Below are 21,939 nucleotides of genomic sequence, written 5' to 3'. Positions count from 1 at the left end.
CTGAAAGAAAGCCAGCAGCCCCAGTCAGGGACTTATAGGTAAAACTCCCATTTCCCTGGGACAGAGCACCTGGGAGAAGAGGCAGCTGTGGGCACAGCTTCAGCAGACTTAAACGTTCCTGCCTGCTGGCTCTGAAGAGAGCAGTGGATCTCCCAGCACAGCACTCCAGTTCTGCTAAGGAACAGACTGCCTCCTCAAGTGGGTCCCTGACCCCCATGCCTCCTGACTGAGAGACATCTCCCAGCAGGGGTTAACAGACAACTCATACAGGAGAGGTCTGGCTGGCATCAGGGGGATGACCACTAGGATGAAGCTTACAGAGGAAGAAGCAGGCAGCAATCTTTGATGTTCTGAGGCCTCTGCTGTTGATACCCAGGCAAACAGGGTCTGGAGTGGACCTCCAGCAAACTCCAGCAGACCTGCAGAAGAGGGGACCAACTGTTAAAAGGAAAACCAACAAACAGAAAGCAAGGACATCAACATCAACAAAAAGGACACCCACACAAAAACCGCATCCAAAGGTCATCAACATCAAAGACTAAAGGTAGATAAATCCGAGAAGATGAGGAAAAACCAGGGCAAAATGCTGAAAATTCCAAAAATCAGAATGTCTCTTTTCCAAATGATCACAACTCCTCTCCAGCAAGGGCACAAAACGGGACAGAGAATGAGTTTGACGAATTGACAGAAGTAGGCTTCAGAAGGTAGGCAATAACAAACTCCTCTGAGCTAAAGGAGCATGTTCTAACCCAGGCAAGGAAGCTGAGAACCTTGATAAAAGGTTACAGGAACTTCTAACTAGAATAACCAGTTTAGAGAGAACATAAATGACCTGATGGAGCTGAAAACCACAGCAGAACTTCATGAAACATACACAAGTATCAATAGCTGAATCAATCAAGCGCAAGAAAGGATATCAGAAATTGAAGATCAACTAAATAAAGTGTGAAGACAAGACTAGAGAAAAAAGAATGAAAAGGAATGAACAAAGACTCCAAGAAATAGGGGACTATGAGAAAAGACCAAACCTACGATTGATTGGTGTACCTGAAAGTGACAGGGATAATGGAACCAAGTTAAAAAAACACACTTCAAGATATTATCCAGGAAAACTTCCCCAACCTAGCAAGACAGGCCAACATTCAAATTCAGGAAATACAAAGAACACCACTAAGATACTCCTCGAGAAGAGCAACCCCAAGACACATAATTGTCAGATTCTCCAAGGTTGAAACGAAGGAGAAAATGTTAAGGGTAGCCAGAGAGAAAGGTCGGGTTACCTACAAAGGGAAGCCCATCAGACTAACAGTGGATCTGTCTGCAGAAACCCTACAAGCCAGAAGAAAGTGGAGGCCAATATTCAACATTCTTAAAGAATTCTCAAGCCAGAATTTCATATCCAGCCAAACTAAGCTTCATAAGCAAAGGAGAAATAAAATCCTTTACAGACAAGCAAATGCTGAGAGATTTTGTCACCACCAGGCCTGCCTTACAAGAGCTCCTGAAGGAAGCACTAAATCTGGAAAGGAAAAACCAGCGCAATCAAATTAGAACTCAGGATTAAGAAACTCACTCAAAACAGCACAACTACGTGGAAACTGAACAACCTGCTCCTTAATAACTACTGGGTAAATAAGAAAATTAAGGCAGAAATAAATTCTTTGAAACCAATGCGAACAAAGACATAATGTACCAGAATCTCTAACACAGCTAAAGCAGTCTTTAGAGGAAAATTTATAGCACTAAATGCCCACATCGGAAAGCAGAAAAGATCTAAAATTGACACCCTAACATCACAATTAAAAGAACTACAAAAGCAAAGGCAAACAAATTAAAAAGCTAGCAGAAGACAAGAAATAACTAAGATCAAAGCAGAACTGAAGGAGATAGAGACATGAAAAACCCTTCAAAAATTCCATGAATCCAGGAGCTGGTTTTTTGAAAAGATTAGCAAAGTAGACACACAGATAGCCAGGCTAGCAAAGAAGAAAAGGGAGAAGAATCAAATAGACACAGTAAAAAATGATAAAGGAATATCACCACTGATCCCACATAAATACAAACTACCATCACCTCTATGCAAATAAACTAGAAAATCTAGAAGAAATGCATAAAATCCTGGACACATACACTCTCCCAAGACTAAATGAGGAAGAAGTCGAATCCCTGAATAGACCAATAACAAGTTCTGAAATTGAGGCAGTAATTTATAGCCTACCAACCAAAAAAAGCCCAGGACCAGACGGATTCACAGCTAAATTCTACCAGAGGGACAAAAAGGAGCTCATCCCATTCCTTCTGAAACTATTCCAAACAATAGAAAAACAAGGACTCCTCCCTAACTCATTTTATGAGACCAGCATCATCCTGATACCAAAACCTGGCAGAGACACAACAAAAAAAGAAAATTTCAGGCCAATATCCCTGATGAACATCAATGTGAGAATCCTCAATAAAATATGGCAAACTGAATCCAGCAGCACATCAAAAAGCTTATCCACCATGATCAAGTCAGCTTCATCCCTGGGATGCAAGGCTGGTTCAACATATGAAAATCAATAAACATAATCCATCACATAAACAGAACCAATGACAAAAACCGTGACTATCTCAATAAATGCAGAAAGGGCCTTCGATAAAATTCAACACCACTTCATGCTAAAAACACTCAATTAACTAGGTATTTATGGAACATATCTCAAAATAATAAGAGCTATTTATGGCAAACCCATAGCCAGTATCATACTTAACAGGCAAAAGCTGGAAGCATTCCCTTTGGAAATTGGCATGAGACAAGGATGCCCTCTCTCACCACTCGTATTCAACATAGTATTGGAAGTTCTGGCCAGGGCAATCAGGCAAGATAAATAAATAAAGTGTATTCAAATAGGAAGAGAGGAAGTCAAATTGTCTCAGTTTGCAGATGACATGATTGTATATTTAGAAAACCCCATCATCTCAGCCAAAAAACTCCTTGAGCTGATAAGCAACTTCAACAAAGTCTCAGGATACAAAATCAATGTGCAAAAATCACAAGCATTCCTATATAGCAATAATAGACAAACAGCCAAATCATGAGTGAACTCCCATTAACAACTGCTACAAAGAAAATGAAATATCTAGGAAAACAATTTAGAAGGGATGTGAAGGACCTCTTCAAGGAGAACTACAAACCACTGCTCAAGGAAATAAGAGAGGACACAAACAAATGGAAAAGCATTCCATGCTCACGGATAGGAAAAATTAATATCATGAAAATGGCCATACTGCCCAAAGTAATTTACAGATTCAATGCTATTCCCATCAAGCTACCATTGACTTTCTTCACAGAATTGGAAAAAACTAATTTAAATTTCATATGGAAACAAAAAAAGAGCCCGTATAGCCAAGACAATCCTAAGCAAAAAATAACAAAGCTGGAGGCATCACACTACCTGACTGCAAACTATACTACAAGGCTACAGTAAACAAAACAGCATGGTACTGGTACCAAAACAGATACATAGACCAATGGAACAGAACAGAGGCCTCAGAAATAATGACACACACCTACAACCATCTGATCTTTGACAAACCTGACAAAAACAAGCAATACGGAAAGGATTCCCTATTTAATAAACGGTGATGGGAAAACTGGCTAGCCATATGCAAAAAACTGAAACTGGATCCCCTTCCTTACACCTTATACAAAAATTAACTCAAGATGGATTAAAGATGTAAGCGTAAAACCTAAAACCATAAAAAGCCTAGAAGAAAACCTAGGCAACACCATTCAGGACATAAGCATGGGCAAAGACTTCATGACTAAAACACCAAAACCAATGGCAATGAAAGCCAAAATTGACAAATGGGATCTAATTAACCTAAAGAGCTTCTGGATAGCAAAAGAAACTAACATCAGAGTGAACAGGCAACCTACAGAATGGGAGAAAATTTTTGCAATCTATCCATCTGACAAAGGTCTAATATCCAGAATCTACAAGGAACTTAAACAAATTACAAGAAAAAAACAAACCCCATCAAAAAGTGGGCAAAGGATATGAACAGACACTTCTCAAAAGAAGACATTTATGTGGCCAAAAAACATGAAAGAAAAGCTCATCATCACTGGTCATTACAGAAATGCAAATCAAAACCACAATGAGATACCATCTCATGCCAGTTAGAATGGCAATCATGAAAATGTCAGGAAACAACCGATGCTGGAGAGGATGTGGAGATATAGGAACACTTTTACACCATTGGTGGGAGTGTAAATTAGTTCAACTATTGTGGAAGATAGTGTGGCAATTCCTCAAGGATCTAGAACCAGAAATACCATTTGACCCAGCAATTCCATTAATGGGTATATACCCAAAGTATTATAAATCATTCTACTATAAATACACATGCACACTTAAGTTTATTGCAGCACTATTTACAATAGCAAAGACTTGGAACCAATCCAAATGTCCATCAATGATAGACTGGGTAAAGAAAAAGTGGCATATATATATATATATATATATATATATATAATGGAATACTATGAAGTTATAAAAAAGAATGAGTTCATGTCCTTTGCAGGGACATGGATGACGCTGGAAACCATCATTCTCAGCAAACTAACACAAGAACAGAAAAACAAACACCGCATGTTCTCACTCATAAGTGGGAGTTGAACAATGAGAACACATGGACACAGGGAGGGGAACATCACATACTGGGGCCTGTCGGGGGTTGGGAGACAAGGGGAGGGAGAGCATGAGGACAAATACCTAATGCATGCAGGACTTAAAACCTAGATGACAGGTTGATGGGTGCAGCAAACCACCATGGCACATATATACCTATGTAACAAACATGCAAGTACTGCACATGTATCCCAGAACTTAAAGTATAAAAAAGCAAAAAAAAAAAAAAAAAAAAAAAAAGGAAAAAACATTTTTACTCTAAAACTTTTTCATGTTGAACACTTCTGACAAGTTGCCACAAGATGGAGGTACATCTGAAGTTTGAGTTAGATAAGTTTTTAAAGTTTTGAGTACATGAAAGCTGTTTTCAATAATAGACAATTGCCCGGGCCCAGTGGCTCACGCCTGTAATCCCAGCACTTTGGGAGGCCGAGGCAGGTGGATCACCTGAGGTCAGGAGTTCAAGACCAGCCTGGCCAACATGGTAAAACCCCATCTCTACTAAAAACACAAAAAATTAGCATGGCGTGGTGGCGGGTGCCTGTAATCCCAGCTACCCAGGAGGCTGAGGCAGGACAATTGCTTGAGCCTGGGAGGCAGAGGTTGCAGTGAACCGAGATTGCGCCATTGCACTCCAGCCTGGGCAACAAGAGCAAAACACCATCTCAAAAAAATAAAATAAATAAAATAAAATAGACAATCTATTTAAATGCCACTTGAAATTGTGCTTTAAAACCTGCTGCAAGACTTTACTACATATAAAAAAAAAAACCAACCAGGAAGACATAGATGATTTAAATTTATAAAATATCTTCTGCTGATGAGCCAAGAAATAACCTGATAACTTAAGACATGACCCAAAGGCTCCAGAGAAACCTTTTTCACCAACGCTCCTGAGACCAGCCTGGCCAACATGGTGAAACCCCGTCTCTACTAAAAATACAAAAATTAGCCAGGTGTAGTGGCGTGTCCCTGTAATCCCAGCTACCTAGGAGGCTGAGGTAGGACAATCACTGGAACCCAGGAGGCAGAGGCTGCAGTGAGACGAGATCGTGCCACTGCACTCCAGCCTGGGTGACAGAGCAAGACTCCGTCTCAATAAAAAAGAAAGAAAAAAGTTTGGAGTCCCTTCCCTGTGTCTTTGCCTCTACCCCAGCACACATTGCCCTGATGTTTCTCCCAGTTGGCAAAACTTGGAGATCTTGGAGCTAAAGGATGCATATGTGTCCTCTGGGTCAGAGATGCTTTTTTGTCCCAAGAATGTCCCTATGCCTCAGCCTAGACAATAAGTGCTAGCACAAACAAAATACATGAAGAATTCAGCACTTTGATACTATTTAAATATTCATAGTTAACAAATGTGTCCAAATGTGTCCAGTGATTTACATTGAGATCATCCTTTGCATGTTGTAAAGTTTTAAGTATACTTTTTTATATGACCAAAAAGAAATATTTTATTTGGCTTCATGTTTTTAAAATAGTCTTTTCAAATATTCTTTAATTAGTAGTTAATTAAGGAGCTGTGATTAGAACCCAGGAGATTCATGTAAAATATTTCTCAAGTTCACCTAAGTGGTTTAAAAATCAAATAACCTTGGGGGTTGGGTCAAGATGGAAGACTAGAAGCAGCTCACGCGTGCCATTCTCATGGAGAGGAAACAAAACGGCTAGTGAACACTGACCCTGCAGGCCAACCATCTGAGAAAACACATCAGGATGCATCAAGGAAGCAGGGGAACAGAGAGAGCAGAGAGGAGCGAAGCTGGGCACCAGCCTGTCTGAGCTCAGGGCGGAGGCAGGAGAATCTCTCCAACACAGAAAAGGATCAAAAAGTGAGAGCCCCCTGGAGGACGCACACTCTCCACAGGGACCTGTGCAAGACTGAGAACAGGAGAATCCTCCTGGCTCCCCTGCACCTCCCCCACTGTGCTTTGAGGACTGAGGTTGAGAGACACCAGGACATTTTATAGGGGCAACACTCAAGTCCAAGGGGACCTCGACAAGCCTTGAGCCCCAGAGCAGACCAGCACTGGTGCCACAGACCCAATAGAGGCTATAGTCATGGTGCCTGGGAGCAGTAAGATTACTCCACACCCCCTCGCTGGACAAGGCTTGGTGCCAGCCTCCAGCCCTGCGGAACCACTTCTGCCTGGACTCAGCCAGTGGCTGCAGCCTCTTGTCCTGGAAACACCCAGACAGGAGGGTGGGTGACCCCACCCACCCCTACTACTAGTAGCCTGGTGGGCAGTACTTGCCAGAGCTTTCAGCTCAGGGGTCCCACTTCTGTGTGAACTCAGCCAGAGTTTGCAGCCCCCTATTGCCCAGGAAGCACCTGGATAACAGGGTGAGTGGCCCCAGCCAACCCCACCACTAGAAGCCAGGTAGGCAATACCTGCTATAGATTCTAGCCCAGTGGTCCCTCTTCTGTGTAGACTTAGCTGGTGGGCACAGCCTCCTGTTGTCCCAGGAAACACCTGGATAACAGGGTGGATGACCCCACTCACCCCTACGGCTGGCAGCCAGGCAAGCAATGCCTGCTAGAGCTTCCAGCCCAGCTGTCCCACTTCTGTCTGATTGTAGCACCCTGTTGTCCTGGAAAATACCCAGAAAGCAGGGTGGGTGACTCCAGGAGAACCACACCTGCTAGAGCTTCCAGTCCAGAGGTCCTGCCTCTGCCTGAATTTGCTGAGGGGCACAGCCTCCTGTTGCCCCGAAAATGCCTGGATGGCAGGGCAGGCAACTCCAACCCACTCTCATAAGAAAGGCCATATCCACTAAAGCTTCTAGTCCAGGGGTCCTGCTTATGCCTGGGCAGGCACAACCCTATGTCCCCCCAGGAAGCACTCAGAGAGCAGATTAGGGCTGACCCAGCAAGTATATGGCCTGTCTACACCTGTGACACCTGCCTGAGGGAGCTCCATGGACAAGAACACCGAACAAAAGAAAAGCAGGGGCCAGGCACGGTGGCTCACACCTGTAATCCCAGCACTTTGGGAGGCCAAGGCATGCGTATTACTTGAGGTCACAGGTTCGAGACCAGCCTGGCCAACATGATGAAACCCTGTCTCTGCTAAAAATACAAAAATTAGCCAGGCATGGTGGCAGGCACCTGTAGTCCCAGGTACTCAGGAGGCCAAGGCAGGAGAATCACTGGAATCCGGGAGACAGAGGTTGCAGTGAGTCAAGATCATACCACTGCACTCCAGCCTGGGCAACAGAGTAAGACTATGCCTCAAACAGAAAGAAAGAAAGGAAGAAAGGAAGAAAGGGAAGAAAGGGAAGAAAAGGAAGAAGGGGAAGGAAGGAAGGAAGGAAGGAAGGAAAAAAGAAGGCACAGAGACAGTAATTGAGGGGGGATCCTCCAAGACCCAGGAGCAGACTAGAATTAAGGCCAGTTGACTGAACTCACTTTATACCACAGTGAAACCACAAAGAAGGTTAAAGGGGGGGAAAAAACATCCAAAAGACAGCAACTTCAAAGACTGAAGGAACATCAGCCCACACAGATGAGCAAAAACCAACACAATAACTCTGGTAACTCAAAAATCCAGAATGTCTTCTCATCTCCAGCCACACTAGTTCCCCAGCAATGGTTCTTAACCAAGCTTAAATGGCTTAATGTCAGAAATAGAATTCAGAACATGAATAGAACGAAGATCATCAACTTTCAGGAGAAAGCCAAAACCCAATCCAAGGACTCTAAGGACTACAATAAAATGATAAAGCAGATAAAAGACAAAATGATCCTTTTAAGAAAGAACTACTGAATTGACAGAGCTCAAAAACTCACTTCAAGAATTTCATAATACAACCACAAGTATTAACAGCAGAATTCACCAAGATGAGGAAACAATCTCAGAACCTGAAGACTGCTTCTCCAAAATAACTCTGTCAGACAAAAATACAAATGGTAGGGCGCAGTGGCTCACGCCTGTAATCCCAGCACTTTGGGAGGCCAAGGAGGGTAGATCACGAGGTCAGGAGATCGAGACTATCCTGGCTAACACTGTGAAACCCCGTCTCTACTAAAAATACAAAAAGAAATTAGCCGGGCGTGGTGGCGGGCGCCTGTAGTCCCAGTTACTCGGGAGGCTGAGGCAGGAGAATGGCGTGAACCCAGGAGGCGGAGCTTGCAGTTAGCCAAGATCGCACCACTGCACTTCAGCCTGGGTGACAGAGCGAGACTCTGTCTCAAAAACAAACAAACAAAAAAACAGTAAACAGAAAAAAGCAGGGGTTGCTATTCCAATTTCAGACAAAACAGACTTTCGACCAACAATGATCAGAAAAGATAAAGAAGGGCATTACACAATGGTAAAGTGTTCCACAAGAAGACCAAACTATCCTTATATTAATATATGCACCCAACACAGGAGCATCCAAATTCATAAAGCAAGTTCTTAGAGACCGACACAAGAGACCTAGATAACCACACAATAATAGTGGGAGACTTCAACACCCCACTGACAATATTAGACAGATCACTGAGGCAGAAAACTAACAAAGATATTCCGGACATGAACTCAACATTTGACCAAGGGGCCTAACAGAACTCTCCACCCCAAAACAACAGAATATATATTCTCATCTGCACATGGCACACACTCTAAAATCAACCACATAATCAGCCATAAGACAATCCTCACCAAATTCAAAAAAATTTAAATCATACCAAACACACTCTCGGACCACAGCACAATAAAAATGGAAATCAAAACTAAGAAAATCACTCAGAATCATGTAATTAAATGGAAATTAAACAACTGCTCCTGAATAACATTTGTATAAACAGGAAATTAAGATAGAAATAAAGAAATTAATTGAATAAAACAACATATCAGAATCTCTAGCACACAGCTAAAGAAGTGTTAAGAGGGAAAAGTTGGCTAGGCCCAGTGGCTCACACCTGTAAACCTAGTACTGTGGGAGACTGAGGCGGGCAGATCACTTGAGGTCAGGAGTTTGAGACCAGCCTGGCCACACGGTGAAACCCTGTCTCTACTAAAAATACAAAAATTAGCTGGGCTACTGTAGTCCCAGCTACTCGGGAAGCTGAGGAAGAAGAATCACTTGAATACTTGAATGAACAGATTTAGGAGCTTTCTTGAATGAACCCAGGAGGCGGAGGTTGCAGTGAGCCGAGATTGCGACACTGCACTCCAGCCTAGGCAACAGAGTGAGACTGTCTGAAAAGACAGGACAGGACAGGACAAGACAAGACAAGATAAGGAAACTAAACTTCAGGTCAATATCCTTGATGAGCATAGATGCAAAAATCCTCAACAAAATACTAGCAAACTAAAACCAGCAGCATAGTAAAAAGGTAATCTATAAAATCAAGCAGAGTTTATCCCTGGGATACAAGGTTGCTTCAACATATACAAATCAGTAAATATGATTCACCACATAAACCAGAAGTAAGTATAAAAACCATCTCAATAGATGCAGAAAAGGCTTTCAATAAAATTCAACATCCCTTCACGTCAAAAACTCTCAACAAACTAGTCATTGAAGGAAAGCACCTCAAAATAATAAGAGCCATCTATGACAAACCTACAGCCAACATCATACTGAACGGGCAAAAGCTGGAAGCATTTCCCTTGAGAACCGTATCAAGACAACGATGCCCACTCTCACCACTCCTATTCAATGCAGTAGTAGAATTCCTGGCTAGAGCACTCAGTCAAGGGAAAGAAATGAAAGGCATCCAAATAGAGAGAAAGTCAGTCTATCTCTGTTTGCAGACAATATGATTCTATACCTAAAAAACTCCATAAGCTCTGCCCAAAAGCTCCTAAATCTGATATACAACTTCAGCAAAGTTTCAGGACATAAAATCAGTGTACAAAAATCAGTAGCATTTCTAAACACCAAGAACGTCCAAGCCAAAAGCCTAATAAAGAATGCAATACCATTCACAATAGCCACAAAAGTTATAAAATACCTAGAAATACAGCTAACAAGGGAGGTGAAAGATCTCTACAACAAGAATCATAAAACACTGCTGAAAGAAATCAGAGATAATACAACCAATGGAAAAATAATCCATGCTCATGGACAGGAATAATCAATATTGTTAAAATGGTCATAATGTCCAAAGTAATTTATAGATTCAATGCTATTCCCATTAAGTTACCATTGACATTCTTCACAGAATTAGAAAAAAACTATTTTAAAATTCACGGAACCAAAAAAGAGCCCAAATAGCCAAGGCAATCCTAAGCAAAATGAACAAAGCTGGAGGCATCACATTACCCAACTTCAAACTATACTACAGGGCTACTGTAACCAAAACAGCATGGTACGGGTACAAAAACAGACACAGAGACAAATAAAGAAATCAGGCAGGAGGTTCACCTGAGGTCAGGAGTTCCGAGACCAGCCTGACCAACATGGTGAAACCTCATCTCTACTAAAAATACAAAATTAGCCAGGCGTGGTGGCACATGCCTGTAATCCCAGCTACTCAGGAGGCTGAGGCAGGAGAATCACTTGAACCCAGGAGGTGGAGGTTGCAGTGACCAAAGATCATGCCATTGCACGCCAGCCTGGGCAACAAGAGTGAAACTCCATCTCAAAAAACAAAACAAAACAAACAAACGAAAAAGCTCAGAAATAAAACTGCACACCTACAACCATCTGATCTTCAACAGAGTTGACAGAAATAAGCAATGGGGAAAGGACTCCCTATTCAATAAATGGTGCTGGGGTAACTGGCTAGACATATGCAGACTATTTAAACTGGACTCCTTCCTTATACCATATACAAAAATCACCTTGAGATGGATTAAGGAGTTAAATGCAAAACCTAAAACTATAAAACCCCTGAAAGAAAACCTAGGCAATACCATTCTGGATACTGGCCCTGGCAAAGATTTCATGACGAAGGCGCCAAAAGCAATTGCAACAAAAACAAAACTTGACAAATGGGACCTAATTAAACTAAAGAGCTCCTGCACAGCAAAACAAAACAAAACAACCTATAAACAGATGGTATTAGTCAGGGTTATCTTAGAGGGACAGAACTAATAGGAGATATATATATATCCTATATATATATCCTATATAACCACACAATAATAGTGGGAGACTTCAACACCCCACTGACAATATTAGACATATAAATATATAAATATAAATATATATACATATATATAAATAAAGGGGAGTATATTAAGTATTAACTTACAAGATCACAACGTCCCAAAATAGGCTGTCTGCAAGCTGAGGAGCAAGGAGAGACAGTCGGAGTCCCAAAACTGAAAAACTTGGAGTCTGATGTTCGAGGGCAGGAAGCATCCAACACAAGAGAAAGATGAAAGATGTAGGCTGCGAGGCTAGGCCTGTCTCCCTCCTTTTCTGCCTGCTTTGTATTTGCTGGCAGCTGATTAGATTGTGCCCACCAGATTAAGGGTGGATCTACCTTCCCCAGTCAACCGACTCAAATGTTAATCTCTTTTGGCAACACCCTCACAGACACACCCAGGATGAATACTTTGTATCCCTCAATCCAATCAAGTTGACACTATTAACCATTACACAGATTAAATAGATAACCTACAGAACTAAAGAAAATATTTGCAAACTGTACATCCCACAAAGGTCTAATATCCAGAATCTATAAGGAACTTAAATTAACAAGCAAAAACAACCCCATTAAAAAGTGGGCAAAGGATATGAACGGACACCTTTCAAAAGAAGACATATATACAGCTGACAAGCATATGAAAAAATGTTCAACATCACTAATCACAAAAATTCAAATCAAAACCACAGTGAGATATCATCTCACACCAGTTTGAATGGCTATTAAAAAGTCAACAAAAATGTTGGCAAGGTTGCAGAGAAGAGGGAACACTTACACACTGATGGTAGGAAGGTAAATTGGTTCAGCCATTGTGGAAAGCAATGTGGCAATTCCTCAGAGAACTTAAAACAGAATTACCATTCAACCCAGAAACCTCACTGTTGGGTATATACCCAGAGGAATATAAATCATCCTACCATAAAAATACATGCATACATATATTCATCACAGCACTATTCACAACAGCAAAGACATGGAATCAACGTAAATACCCAACAACAGTAATAGACTGGATAAAGAAAATATGGTACATATATTCCATGGAATACTACGCAGCCATAAAAAAGAAGAAAATGATGTCCCTTGCAGCAACATGTATGGAGAGGCAGGCCATTATACTAAGCAATCTAACACACGAACAGAAAACCAAATACTGCATGTTCTCATTCCATGTGTACTCAATGTGGAAGCTAAACATTGACTACATATGGACACAAAGAAGGGAACAACAGAAGTTGGGAGGGTGGGAGAAGGGAGAGGACTGAAAAACTACCTATCATGTACCATGTTTATTACCCGAGTGACAAAACAATCTGTACACTAAATCCCTGTAACACACAATTAACATATGTAACAACACTGCATATGTACTCCTGGACCTAAAATAGAAACTAAAAACACCTAAATCTCAAAATGTTACAGTTCCACAGAACTGCATTCTAAAAAAAAAAAAAAAAAGTTTTTATCCTATTGCTGTTACTACTTATCTATGTGATCTTAGACAAGGTATTAATGTATTCTGTGTTCTTACCCTCTGTTCTAGTTGCTGTGTACAACAAATCAAAAAATGGATAATCAAATATGGTAATATACATACAAGAGAATATTATTCAGCCTTAAAAAGGAAATTCTGACATACGCTGTAACATATATGAATCTTGAAGATATCATGCTAAATGAAATAAGTCACAAAAATACAAATACTGGAAGATTCCACTTATATGAGGAAGCATAGTCAAAATTTTGGAGCCAGAAAGAATAGTGGTTGCTAGGGCCTGGGAGAAGGGGAGGGGTATTACTTAATGGATAAAGTTTCATTTGTGCAAGATTGAAAGAATTATGGCAATGGATAGTGATGATGGTTGCATATTATGAATGTATGTAATATCACTGAACATCTCTTAAAAATTGTTTTAAGATGAGATGGGTACGGTGGCCCTCACTGGTAATCACTGCACTTTGGGAGGCCGAGGTAGGCAGATCACTTGAGCCCAGGAGTTCAAGACCAGGCTGGGCAACGTGGCAAACTCTACTAAAAAATACAAATTAGACAGGCATGGTGGTATATGCCTGTTGTCCCAGCTACTCGGGAGGCTGAAGTAGGAGGATCACTTTAGCCCAGGAGGTTGAGGCTGCAGTGAGCTGTGATAGCACCACTGCACTCCAGCCCAGGTGAGAGACGCTGTCGCCAAAAAAAAAAAAAGGGGGGGGGGGATGTTAAAATGGTAATTTTAATGTAATATGTATTGTACCACAACAAAAATTATTTTTTTAAAGAAGTAACTGGCCGGGTGCGACGGCTCATGCCTATAATCCCAGCACTTTGGGAGGCTGAGGCGGGTGGATCATCTGAGGTCAGGAGTTCGAGACCAGCCTGGCCAACATGGGAAACCCTGTCTCTACTAAAAATACAAAAAATTAGCCGTGCATGGTGGTGGGCGCCTGTAATCCCAGCTACTCAGAGAATCACTTGAACCTGGGAGGCAGAGGTTGCAGTGAGCCAAGATCCCGCCATTGCACTCCAGCCCACGCAACAAGAGCGAAACTCAGTCTCAAAAATAAATAAATAAATAAACAAACTGGAAGTACTCAGGATGCCCTAAGTCACATGCATTCCAGAAGGTTAAAGATAAACCACAAAAATTCAAAGGACAACCACACTGGTGAAGTTATGAGGGATCCATTGGTCTGGAGCATGCTAGGACTGCCCGTCACTAAAGGATAATTTATTTCACCTTGATCCTCCTACCATTAAAAAGAGATACAGCACTTTATAAGCTTCTGGATTTTAGAAACACAAATTGTAGATAGGAAAACTCCTTTGACCCATTTCTTATGTGGCTTAGATTTTAGTGGGGCCCAGAGTGAGGGAGTTCTGGAGCAAGTTCCAGCTTATAGTACAAATAACTCGACATTTAGGCCATATGACCTGGCAAATCCCATGATGCCAGAGACATTCCTGGTAGACAAGGATGCTACAGAGTCTCTGGCAAGCCCTGATTGCATAAGTCGTAACACAGACCTTTAGGTTTCTGGAGCTCAGTCAGTCTTTCCGCAGCAGATAACTAGTCACTATTTAGAGAGTAGCTCCTCACATCAGAGCACATCAACTATGTGACCAGAGCTATCCATCATGAGCTGGGTATTGTCAGATCCACCAAACCCAAAGAATAGACCAGCATAGTAATAACTCATGTTACATTCAGGATGGTGCCCAAGCCGTTCCTAGGGCTCCCACTTCCATGAAAAGGTGGCCCATGTAACTTACCTCCAAGACACCAGCACCTTTCCCTCAGCTCATGGCTTCGTTGGGGTTCACCACTACTATCAGGTGACAGAGGAGGAAAAAACCCCAGGCTTGGTTCACAGATAAATCAGCTTGGTATTTTACTGTAAACCAAAGACTGACTCCTGTCATATTAGCCTGAGTAGACTTGAAAGACAGTGATAAGGGAAAAGCTACCTAGTGGCCTGAGCTTCAATTCAAGCAATAAACCTGGTCAGCACTTTGCTCATGATGTAACATAAAATTAAATGCTCACCAGCCTTTATGTCATCTTTCTAGGCATTTAGCTTGCTGGAGGTGCATTTTCTAGTCCATTCCTCAGGACACACTCAAGGGAAACACGTTTCCTGAATTCTTGCACACTGATAGTGTCTGAGGAGTTATTTTTATACTTAATCAGTTTTGGTAGATACAAAATCTTTTACTCACATTTTCTTTCTACAGATATCTTAAAGAGGCTATTCTTTTTCCTCCTGACATAGTGCTGCTGTTTTAACTCTTGCTCTTGTAAGTCATTTGCTGTTTTTGTCTAGTCAAACCCAAAGTTTGTATATTGCCATTGGTTGTCCCAGTATAATAATCTCAGGTAGGCAGGTTACTCTTCCAATGTGTAGTTCCAAATTTTTTTCATCAAAGTAGTCATTTGATTTTGTTCTGTATGTTGCATTTTTTCTGTCTCTAGAGTTTGTCATACCCCTACTAATCCTTTTTATCTCTTTTCTTTCTGATTTCTAAAAGTCCTCCATTTTTATCTTTCATTTCTTTTAGGGCATATCTGTTGTTCATCAGCTGTTGTTTATTCTAGTCTTAATTTATGAGTGATTTTCCTCTATTACTAACATTTTCCCAAGTTCTTCAATTTTATTTTTGTTGTTCTTTCATATCTTGTATCATTTTCTAAATGTCTTAAAACTCAATTTTAAGTACTACTCTATAGCTTCTATCCATTTATGGGCATGCCTTTCTGGTGTGCTTTCAATGTCTACAGGGATGTTATTTTCTTCCTTATACTCTTTTTTTTTTTTAAACAAACTTGCATGATTATAGTTTCACGTTATTTTTTTTGAAGTCAGCTTCTCTGAGCTTTTAAAAGGAGGCTTAGTTCAGGGTAACTTTCCTAACATCACAGATATTCCATTTTTGTTGTTTTTATATAGTGTTCAAAAATAGGACAGCTCGCTTTCTGAAATTTTCCTGGATCTTTTAAAATAAATGACAGATACAAAGATGGGTAAGATATGATACCAAGAGAAATAACAAAATATAGCAAACAAATATTTTTTGCCCAAAAGCAAACTTCACAGTCCATAAAGGCCTATGCAAATAAATAAAACACCCCCTCCAATAAACAACCCTTTTAATAAAATGTGTATTAATTCAAATACAAATGCACGACTTTTAAAATGGAATTTAGTAGCCAGTTCTATATTGAATAATTGAGTTCTGCACATTATGAAATAGGATATAAAATATAATCCTAAACTGGAAGAAAAAGACTTCAATGTAAAAGTTTTCAGATGAAAATATACTTTATAAATGAATCTTCATTCATGCCAGTACATTCCTTAGTATTACTTAGTAATACTTCCCAGCTCTTTAGGAGGCCGTGGTAGGTGAATCACTTGAGTTCAAGAGTTCAATATCAACCTGGCCAACATGGTGAAATCCCGTCTCTACTAAAAATACAAAAATTAGCCAGGCATGGTGGCACACGCCTGTAGTCCCAGCTAATTGGGAAGCTGAGGCACAAGAATCACTTGAGCCCAGGAAGTAGAGGCTGCAGGGAGCCAAGATCGCACCACTGCACTCCAGTATGGGTGACACAGCAAGACTCTGTCTCAAAAAAAAAAAAAAAAGGTATTAATTATGTTCAATGGGATACTGACATTGTAATTCCATGTAGAAATATTCTTTTTTGATATATCCTCACGTATTTAGAGTAAAATGACATCTTATCTGGGATGTGCTTTAAACAAAATAAAAGGGAAAGAAAAGAAACAAGTATGGCAAAATTTAATGGTAATTAAAGCTGGTATATAGTGGTTCATACATATTTTCTCTTTCAATGAATACTTAAAGCTTTTTATAATAAATCACCCTTTCAAAAAATGTTCAATACATATTGATATCATTTGGATATCTGTCCCCTTCAAATCTCATGTTGAAATATGGTCCCCGATGTTGGAAGTGGGGACTAGTGGGAGATGTTTAGATCATGGGGGCAGATCCCTCATGAATGGCTTGGTGTCCTCCCTGCAGTAATGAGTTCATGTGAGATCTGGTTATTAAAAAGAGTCTAGAACTTCCTTCTTCCTGCTCTCTTCCTCTCTTTCACCATGTGATATGCTCACTCTTCTTTACTTTCCTCCACAAGTAAAGCATCATGCTTCTTGTACAGCTACAAGCCAATTAAACCCTGAGCCAAATAAACCTCTTATTTTTAATAAATTATCCTGCCTCAGGTACTCCTTTATAGCAATGCAAACAGACTAATACACATATCATTGACAATGTTTATTATCAAGAAACTTTAGGTTTTTTAAAAGAATGCTCGTTTTAGAATACACCAAGAGGACACTCTGTGACAGGACATATACAAACAAGGATAATTAAAATATTAAATACTATCTAAATTAAAAGACCATAATTCAAATTGCTAATTATAATATTTGTGTCGGTAGAAATAACTATAGTTCCCCTTCATGAAATTCACCCCCACGTTCTCATGAAGACTATGACGTCTCACCACAATTTCAGTTATTTAATTTACAATAATCAATGCTGAGTTTTCTGTGCTGAAGCATGCACTGTTACAGAAAGCACAAAATCCTATTTACAGGGATTTTTAGTTTTCTTTAAAATGTATCTCAAGCATCTTTTAAAGTGCGAGCTACAAATAGGTTGTATCCTTAATGAAAAAGGCTTCTTTCTAAAAGAAGTATGAGATAGCTATCCAATACTGCAGGAACAGTTATATAACTAACCGAAGGAACCAGCAGCACTCTGCTAACTCTGTTTTAGTGTAGCAACCTCCTTCTTGGTGTTCTACTACCAGCCAAACATGTACTCCATTGCTTTGGATACAAGACTTTCATCTTTTTTTGGCGTTTGTCTGTCAGAAATAACCTATTAAAAAACACACACAAAAAAAACGGTTAGGTTATTGTTACTTCAGTGTCATAGGCAATTCTAGAATTGCTCATTTAAAAGAGAAACACCAAAATGCATTTATAGCACTAAATTGTAAATTTTTGTATTTTTAGTAGAGACGGGGTTTCACCGTGTTAGCCAGGATGGTCTCGATCTCCTGACCTCGTGATCCGCCCGCCTCGGCCTGCCAAAGTGCTGGGATTACAGGCATGAGCCCCTGCGCCCGGCCTGAATTGTATATTTTTAAAATTAAAATATGGACTTAGAATATCCTTATGCTTTTAAGAATGCCAAAATTTTATTCCTTTGGCAAAGCAAATAACATCTGTTTCTTAAATTAGAAAATTGAATAGCTGGGCGCAGTGGCTCAGGTCTGTAATCCCAGCACTTTGGGAGGCCAAGGTGGGCAGATTACTTGAGGTCAAAAGTTTGAGACCACCCTGGCCAACATGGTCCCATCTCTACTAAAAATACAAAAAATTAGCTGGGCGTGGTGGCACGTGCCTGTAATCTACTCAGGAGGCTGAGGCAGGAGAATCACCTGAACCCAGGAGGCAGAGGTTGCAGTGAGCTGGGATAGCACCACTGTACTCCAGCCTAGGTAACAGAGAGACATTCCGTCTCAAAACAAAAGAAAGAAAAATTGAATAACAAAAGCTGCACTGAATGGGAAATTTAAAATAACAGTAATAGAACCTAAAGAAAAAAACAGTTCTAGAATAATCTCCAAATTTCAGAGGAAGTCAAAAAACTGAACTACCACTATCTGCCCTACTAAAGCACAAGTGTTTCATGTACTGTGTGTTTCAGGACCTGTTTCTGCAGCTGGTTAAGTTCGAACACTTGGCTAGTCAGTAGGAGACAATAATATACTGAATGAGATCATAATACTTCTACCATTCTTCAAAGAACATAATTAACTTCTTTAAGCTTTTTTGAAGTGAGAAATTTTTTTCTGTCTGGAGGTTGGTCAATGTCTTCATTTAAATAACCAAAGCTACTCCAACCTAAGGTTCTGCACTTTGGATACCATCAATTTAGTCATCAATTTAATAAAGTTTTAATGCGCCCTCATGTCAAAGATGCACACAGGATACATTTCGTATGTATGCAAATATAACTTAGAAAAAGCTAAAACAACTTTCAAAAAATTTAAAGGAATGGCAAATAATTTTTTTTTTTTAATTCATGATAACTTTCCAATTGGCCAAGATGTTAACTTTAAAGCAGAAAACTTTTAAAGCGTAAAGGTTTCATCAAGGTAATAGCCTCCACAGGAAACATTTAATGGCATACAAATCAATACAATGAAAAAGTTAAGCATGCTATGCACTCAGCCATTAAAGTACATCTTTTTTTATCCAATCCTTAAAATACCTGATAATCACTAGTAGAGGCTTTGTATGCTGTAGCAAGAGGTCTCATGGTAGAAATCCTAGGAGTACTTCCAGGTTGTGTTGGTGTACCTAGAGTTTTGATTGGTGGTGTAAAGGCTAAAGATGGAGATGATAAAGCACATCTGTCACTGCTTTCCATAACACTCTGGAGAAACAAAGAAATAACTCCTTTGTTTATAAACATAATACATATCATCCAGTATTACATCCTACTTAGAAAATTTAATTAAAAGATAAAGATGAAATACTTTATTTGCTCTAATTAAACTTGCAAATAATTTTAGGCTTGAGAAAATATTTGCTTCTTAGGTAGCATTTGAGATTGAATGCTCAGACAGAAATCTCACTTCAGTGACCTCAAACAATCTCAATACAACTATAGACCACAAAAATAAGAATTTCCTAAAACACTATGAAAAATCAGCAAGGACAAAAAAATTCTTAGGGAAACCTGGATTGGAAAGAATCAAACTCCAGTGCTATTTAGCACTTAGTTACCCCAAATATTCTTCTGGCCTCTGCAAACATTTGTTACAGCACAGTATTATAACTATATAACTACACTGATATAACAGATTTTAAGAATAGGAACCACATCTTGCTTTGTTCATTAATGTGTGTATACTAGCACCAAGCACAATGCCTGGAATGTAGTACAAGTTCACATATACTTAAAGAATGTTCACAATGATTTAACAAGCCACAAAGAACAGTTTAAATTGTACTCTGTACTATTTAATGAGTATATATAGAATAATTTTAAAATAGTTTTAAACAGAAATATTTTGAAACGAAAACCTTTGACATTTAAAAGTTAACTATCAGTTAATGTTAATATGAACTAATTCATTCTGAAATAGTACCATTCCATTTAAGTACTTTAAAGAATCTGGTATCGCTTTGCACAAGAAAGAGAATGGATTAGTAGTCAAGAGACCTAAAATCTAGGCCTCACCTTTAACAACTCTGGACAAGTTACTTAAGCCCTCTCAGTTTCTTTATCTGAAAAATGAAGAGGTGAGGACAGATTACCTCTAAATTCTAAACTCTATGATTAAATACCTTCGGCTTACCACAAAGAGTACTATAAACATCATCACATTTTACAAACTAAGAAAAACAGACACAGTGAAACCAAGTGACACAACGACCAATTTCAATCCTTGGTCTTGTGCTCTTCATATAGATTAAGCTACTTTGCCTACATCACCAATAACTTACTTTGTCAATACATGGTTTTACACCAATCATGATGGATTCTCCAAAAATCCTCCCATCTTTGCTTAAGGCTTTCCGAGCCTGCAGTTTAGATTGATAACGAATATGCATCCAATTTCCTGTATTAGACATCTGCAAAGAATAAAACTGTCTCTTAAAATAGAAAATATATAAAATCTACATCTAATGAATTCTACTAGAAAATAGGAACATGGTAAGATAAATTTACTTCCATTCCGTATTTGATGCCTTGTAAAAAGCTGTAAAGTTCAACAAAAATCGTATTTAGAACAGCTTCAACAATCTCTCAATTCTCTACAATCAACATGTACATATTCTCTGAAAGTAAGATACTTCTCAAAATATGTTTATTGTAAAGAGATCAAAGCAACACTTGCCATAAAGTTATTTAAAACTACTCAATTTGATTTTGTATAGGAGTTAAGTCAATCTCTAGCAACAAAAAAGGATTTGTTACTTATAACTTGTAGCACAAGGTAAGATAATTTTTTAAATTTTAGAGCTATAAAGCTCTAAAAACTCTAAAAGCTCAGGAACTGCCTCCTACTTCTTTTATCCCCAATAAAAGCAGCTCAAATTGGAAAACAGTAATATAATACTTGGCATAATCTATCTTTTTTAAGACTGTAAACTGTTTAAGAAAGGAGGTGAGAGGAGGTGGATTTTCAAACTCTCAATTCTCCATATCTTCTCACTATATCTCTTTTTATCAAAAATTAGGCAACTTCCAGCCTTCCAGACTTCAAAGGATGTATTATATCAAAACTCAAAAAAAAATTTAAGTTTAAAAAAAACCCACAAAATTCAGAAGCAGTTTCTCTCAATTCACAACTTATCCCTCTTTAGTCAAAACTCTGAACTGAAAAAAATTAAGCCTTACCACATGTTTTAAGATATTCCCATACTGTGCAAATTGTAGTAATATGTAGGAAGCAGATGCTTGAGGAAACCTGAAAAAAAGAGTTGTCCAAAGAAAACGTCAGCTTCTACTATCAATGTGAATGCAAATTACTACAAGATAATGTTTCAAGATAAATGGCCCCCAACTGTCTAGAACGTTAACAGGAGAGTGCTGATCATCCTGTTTTCCCCGATATGGGCTAATTC

The 21,939-nt window shown here is 39.4% G+C and overlaps 1 protein-coding gene and 1 long non-coding RNA gene across 10 annotated transcripts in view, besides 1 other annotated feature; both read right to left on the bottom strand.

The window, feature by feature from the left end:
* The window catches only part of LOC124906103 (uncharacterized), a 41,076-nt gene extending 36,189 nt beyond the window's left edge, over positions 1-4,887 (bottom strand). Inside the window, exon 1 of the long non-coding RNA XR_007087332.1 lies at positions 319-4,887. This is a non-coding gene — a long non-coding RNA (uncharacterized LOC124906103). The remainder of the gene's footprint in view (positions 1-318) is intronic.
* Positions 6,338-6,924: an enhancer, noted in NCBI's record as "H3K27ac-H3K4me1 hESC enhancer chr2:184037030-184037616 (GRCh37/hg19 assembly coordinates)". NCBI's record gives its function as "activates a minimal SCP1, AML or CMV promoter by ChIP-STARR-seq in naive H9 embryonic stem cells {active_cell/tissue: H9 hESC(naive)}" and the evidence as "EXISTENCE:reporter gene assay evidence [ECO:0000049][PMID:30033119]".
* Positions 17,546-21,939, bottom strand: part of NUP35 (nucleoporin 35) — a 44,167-nt gene continuing 39,773 nt past the window's right edge. For all 9 annotated transcript variants that reach the window (NR_109856.2, XM_011510577.3, XM_011510576.4 and 6 more), the window contains 4 exons: positions 21,713-21,782; positions 20,815-20,943; positions 19,574-19,738; positions 17,546-18,172 (listed from right to left, as the gene is read on the bottom strand). Coding sequence is in view for 8 of the 9 variants with exons in the window: in XM_011510577.3 (XP_011508879.1) it covers positions 18,095-18,172; positions 19,574-19,738; positions 20,815-20,943; positions 21,713-21,782 (442 nt within the window). In the remaining variant the exon portion in view is untranslated. The remainder of the gene's footprint in view (positions 18,173-19,573; positions 19,739-20,814; positions 20,944-21,712; positions 21,783-21,939) is intronic.

Source organism: Homo sapiens, chromosome 2, assembly GCF_000001405.40.
Source record: "Homo sapiens chromosome 2, GRCh38.p14 Primary Assembly".
NCBI classification, from domain to species: domain Eukaryota; kingdom Metazoa; phylum Chordata; class Mammalia; order Primates; family Hominidae; genus Homo; species Homo sapiens.
Note: the sequence above shows the minus strand (reverse complement) of the source record. Positions and strands in the feature narration are given on the sequence as shown.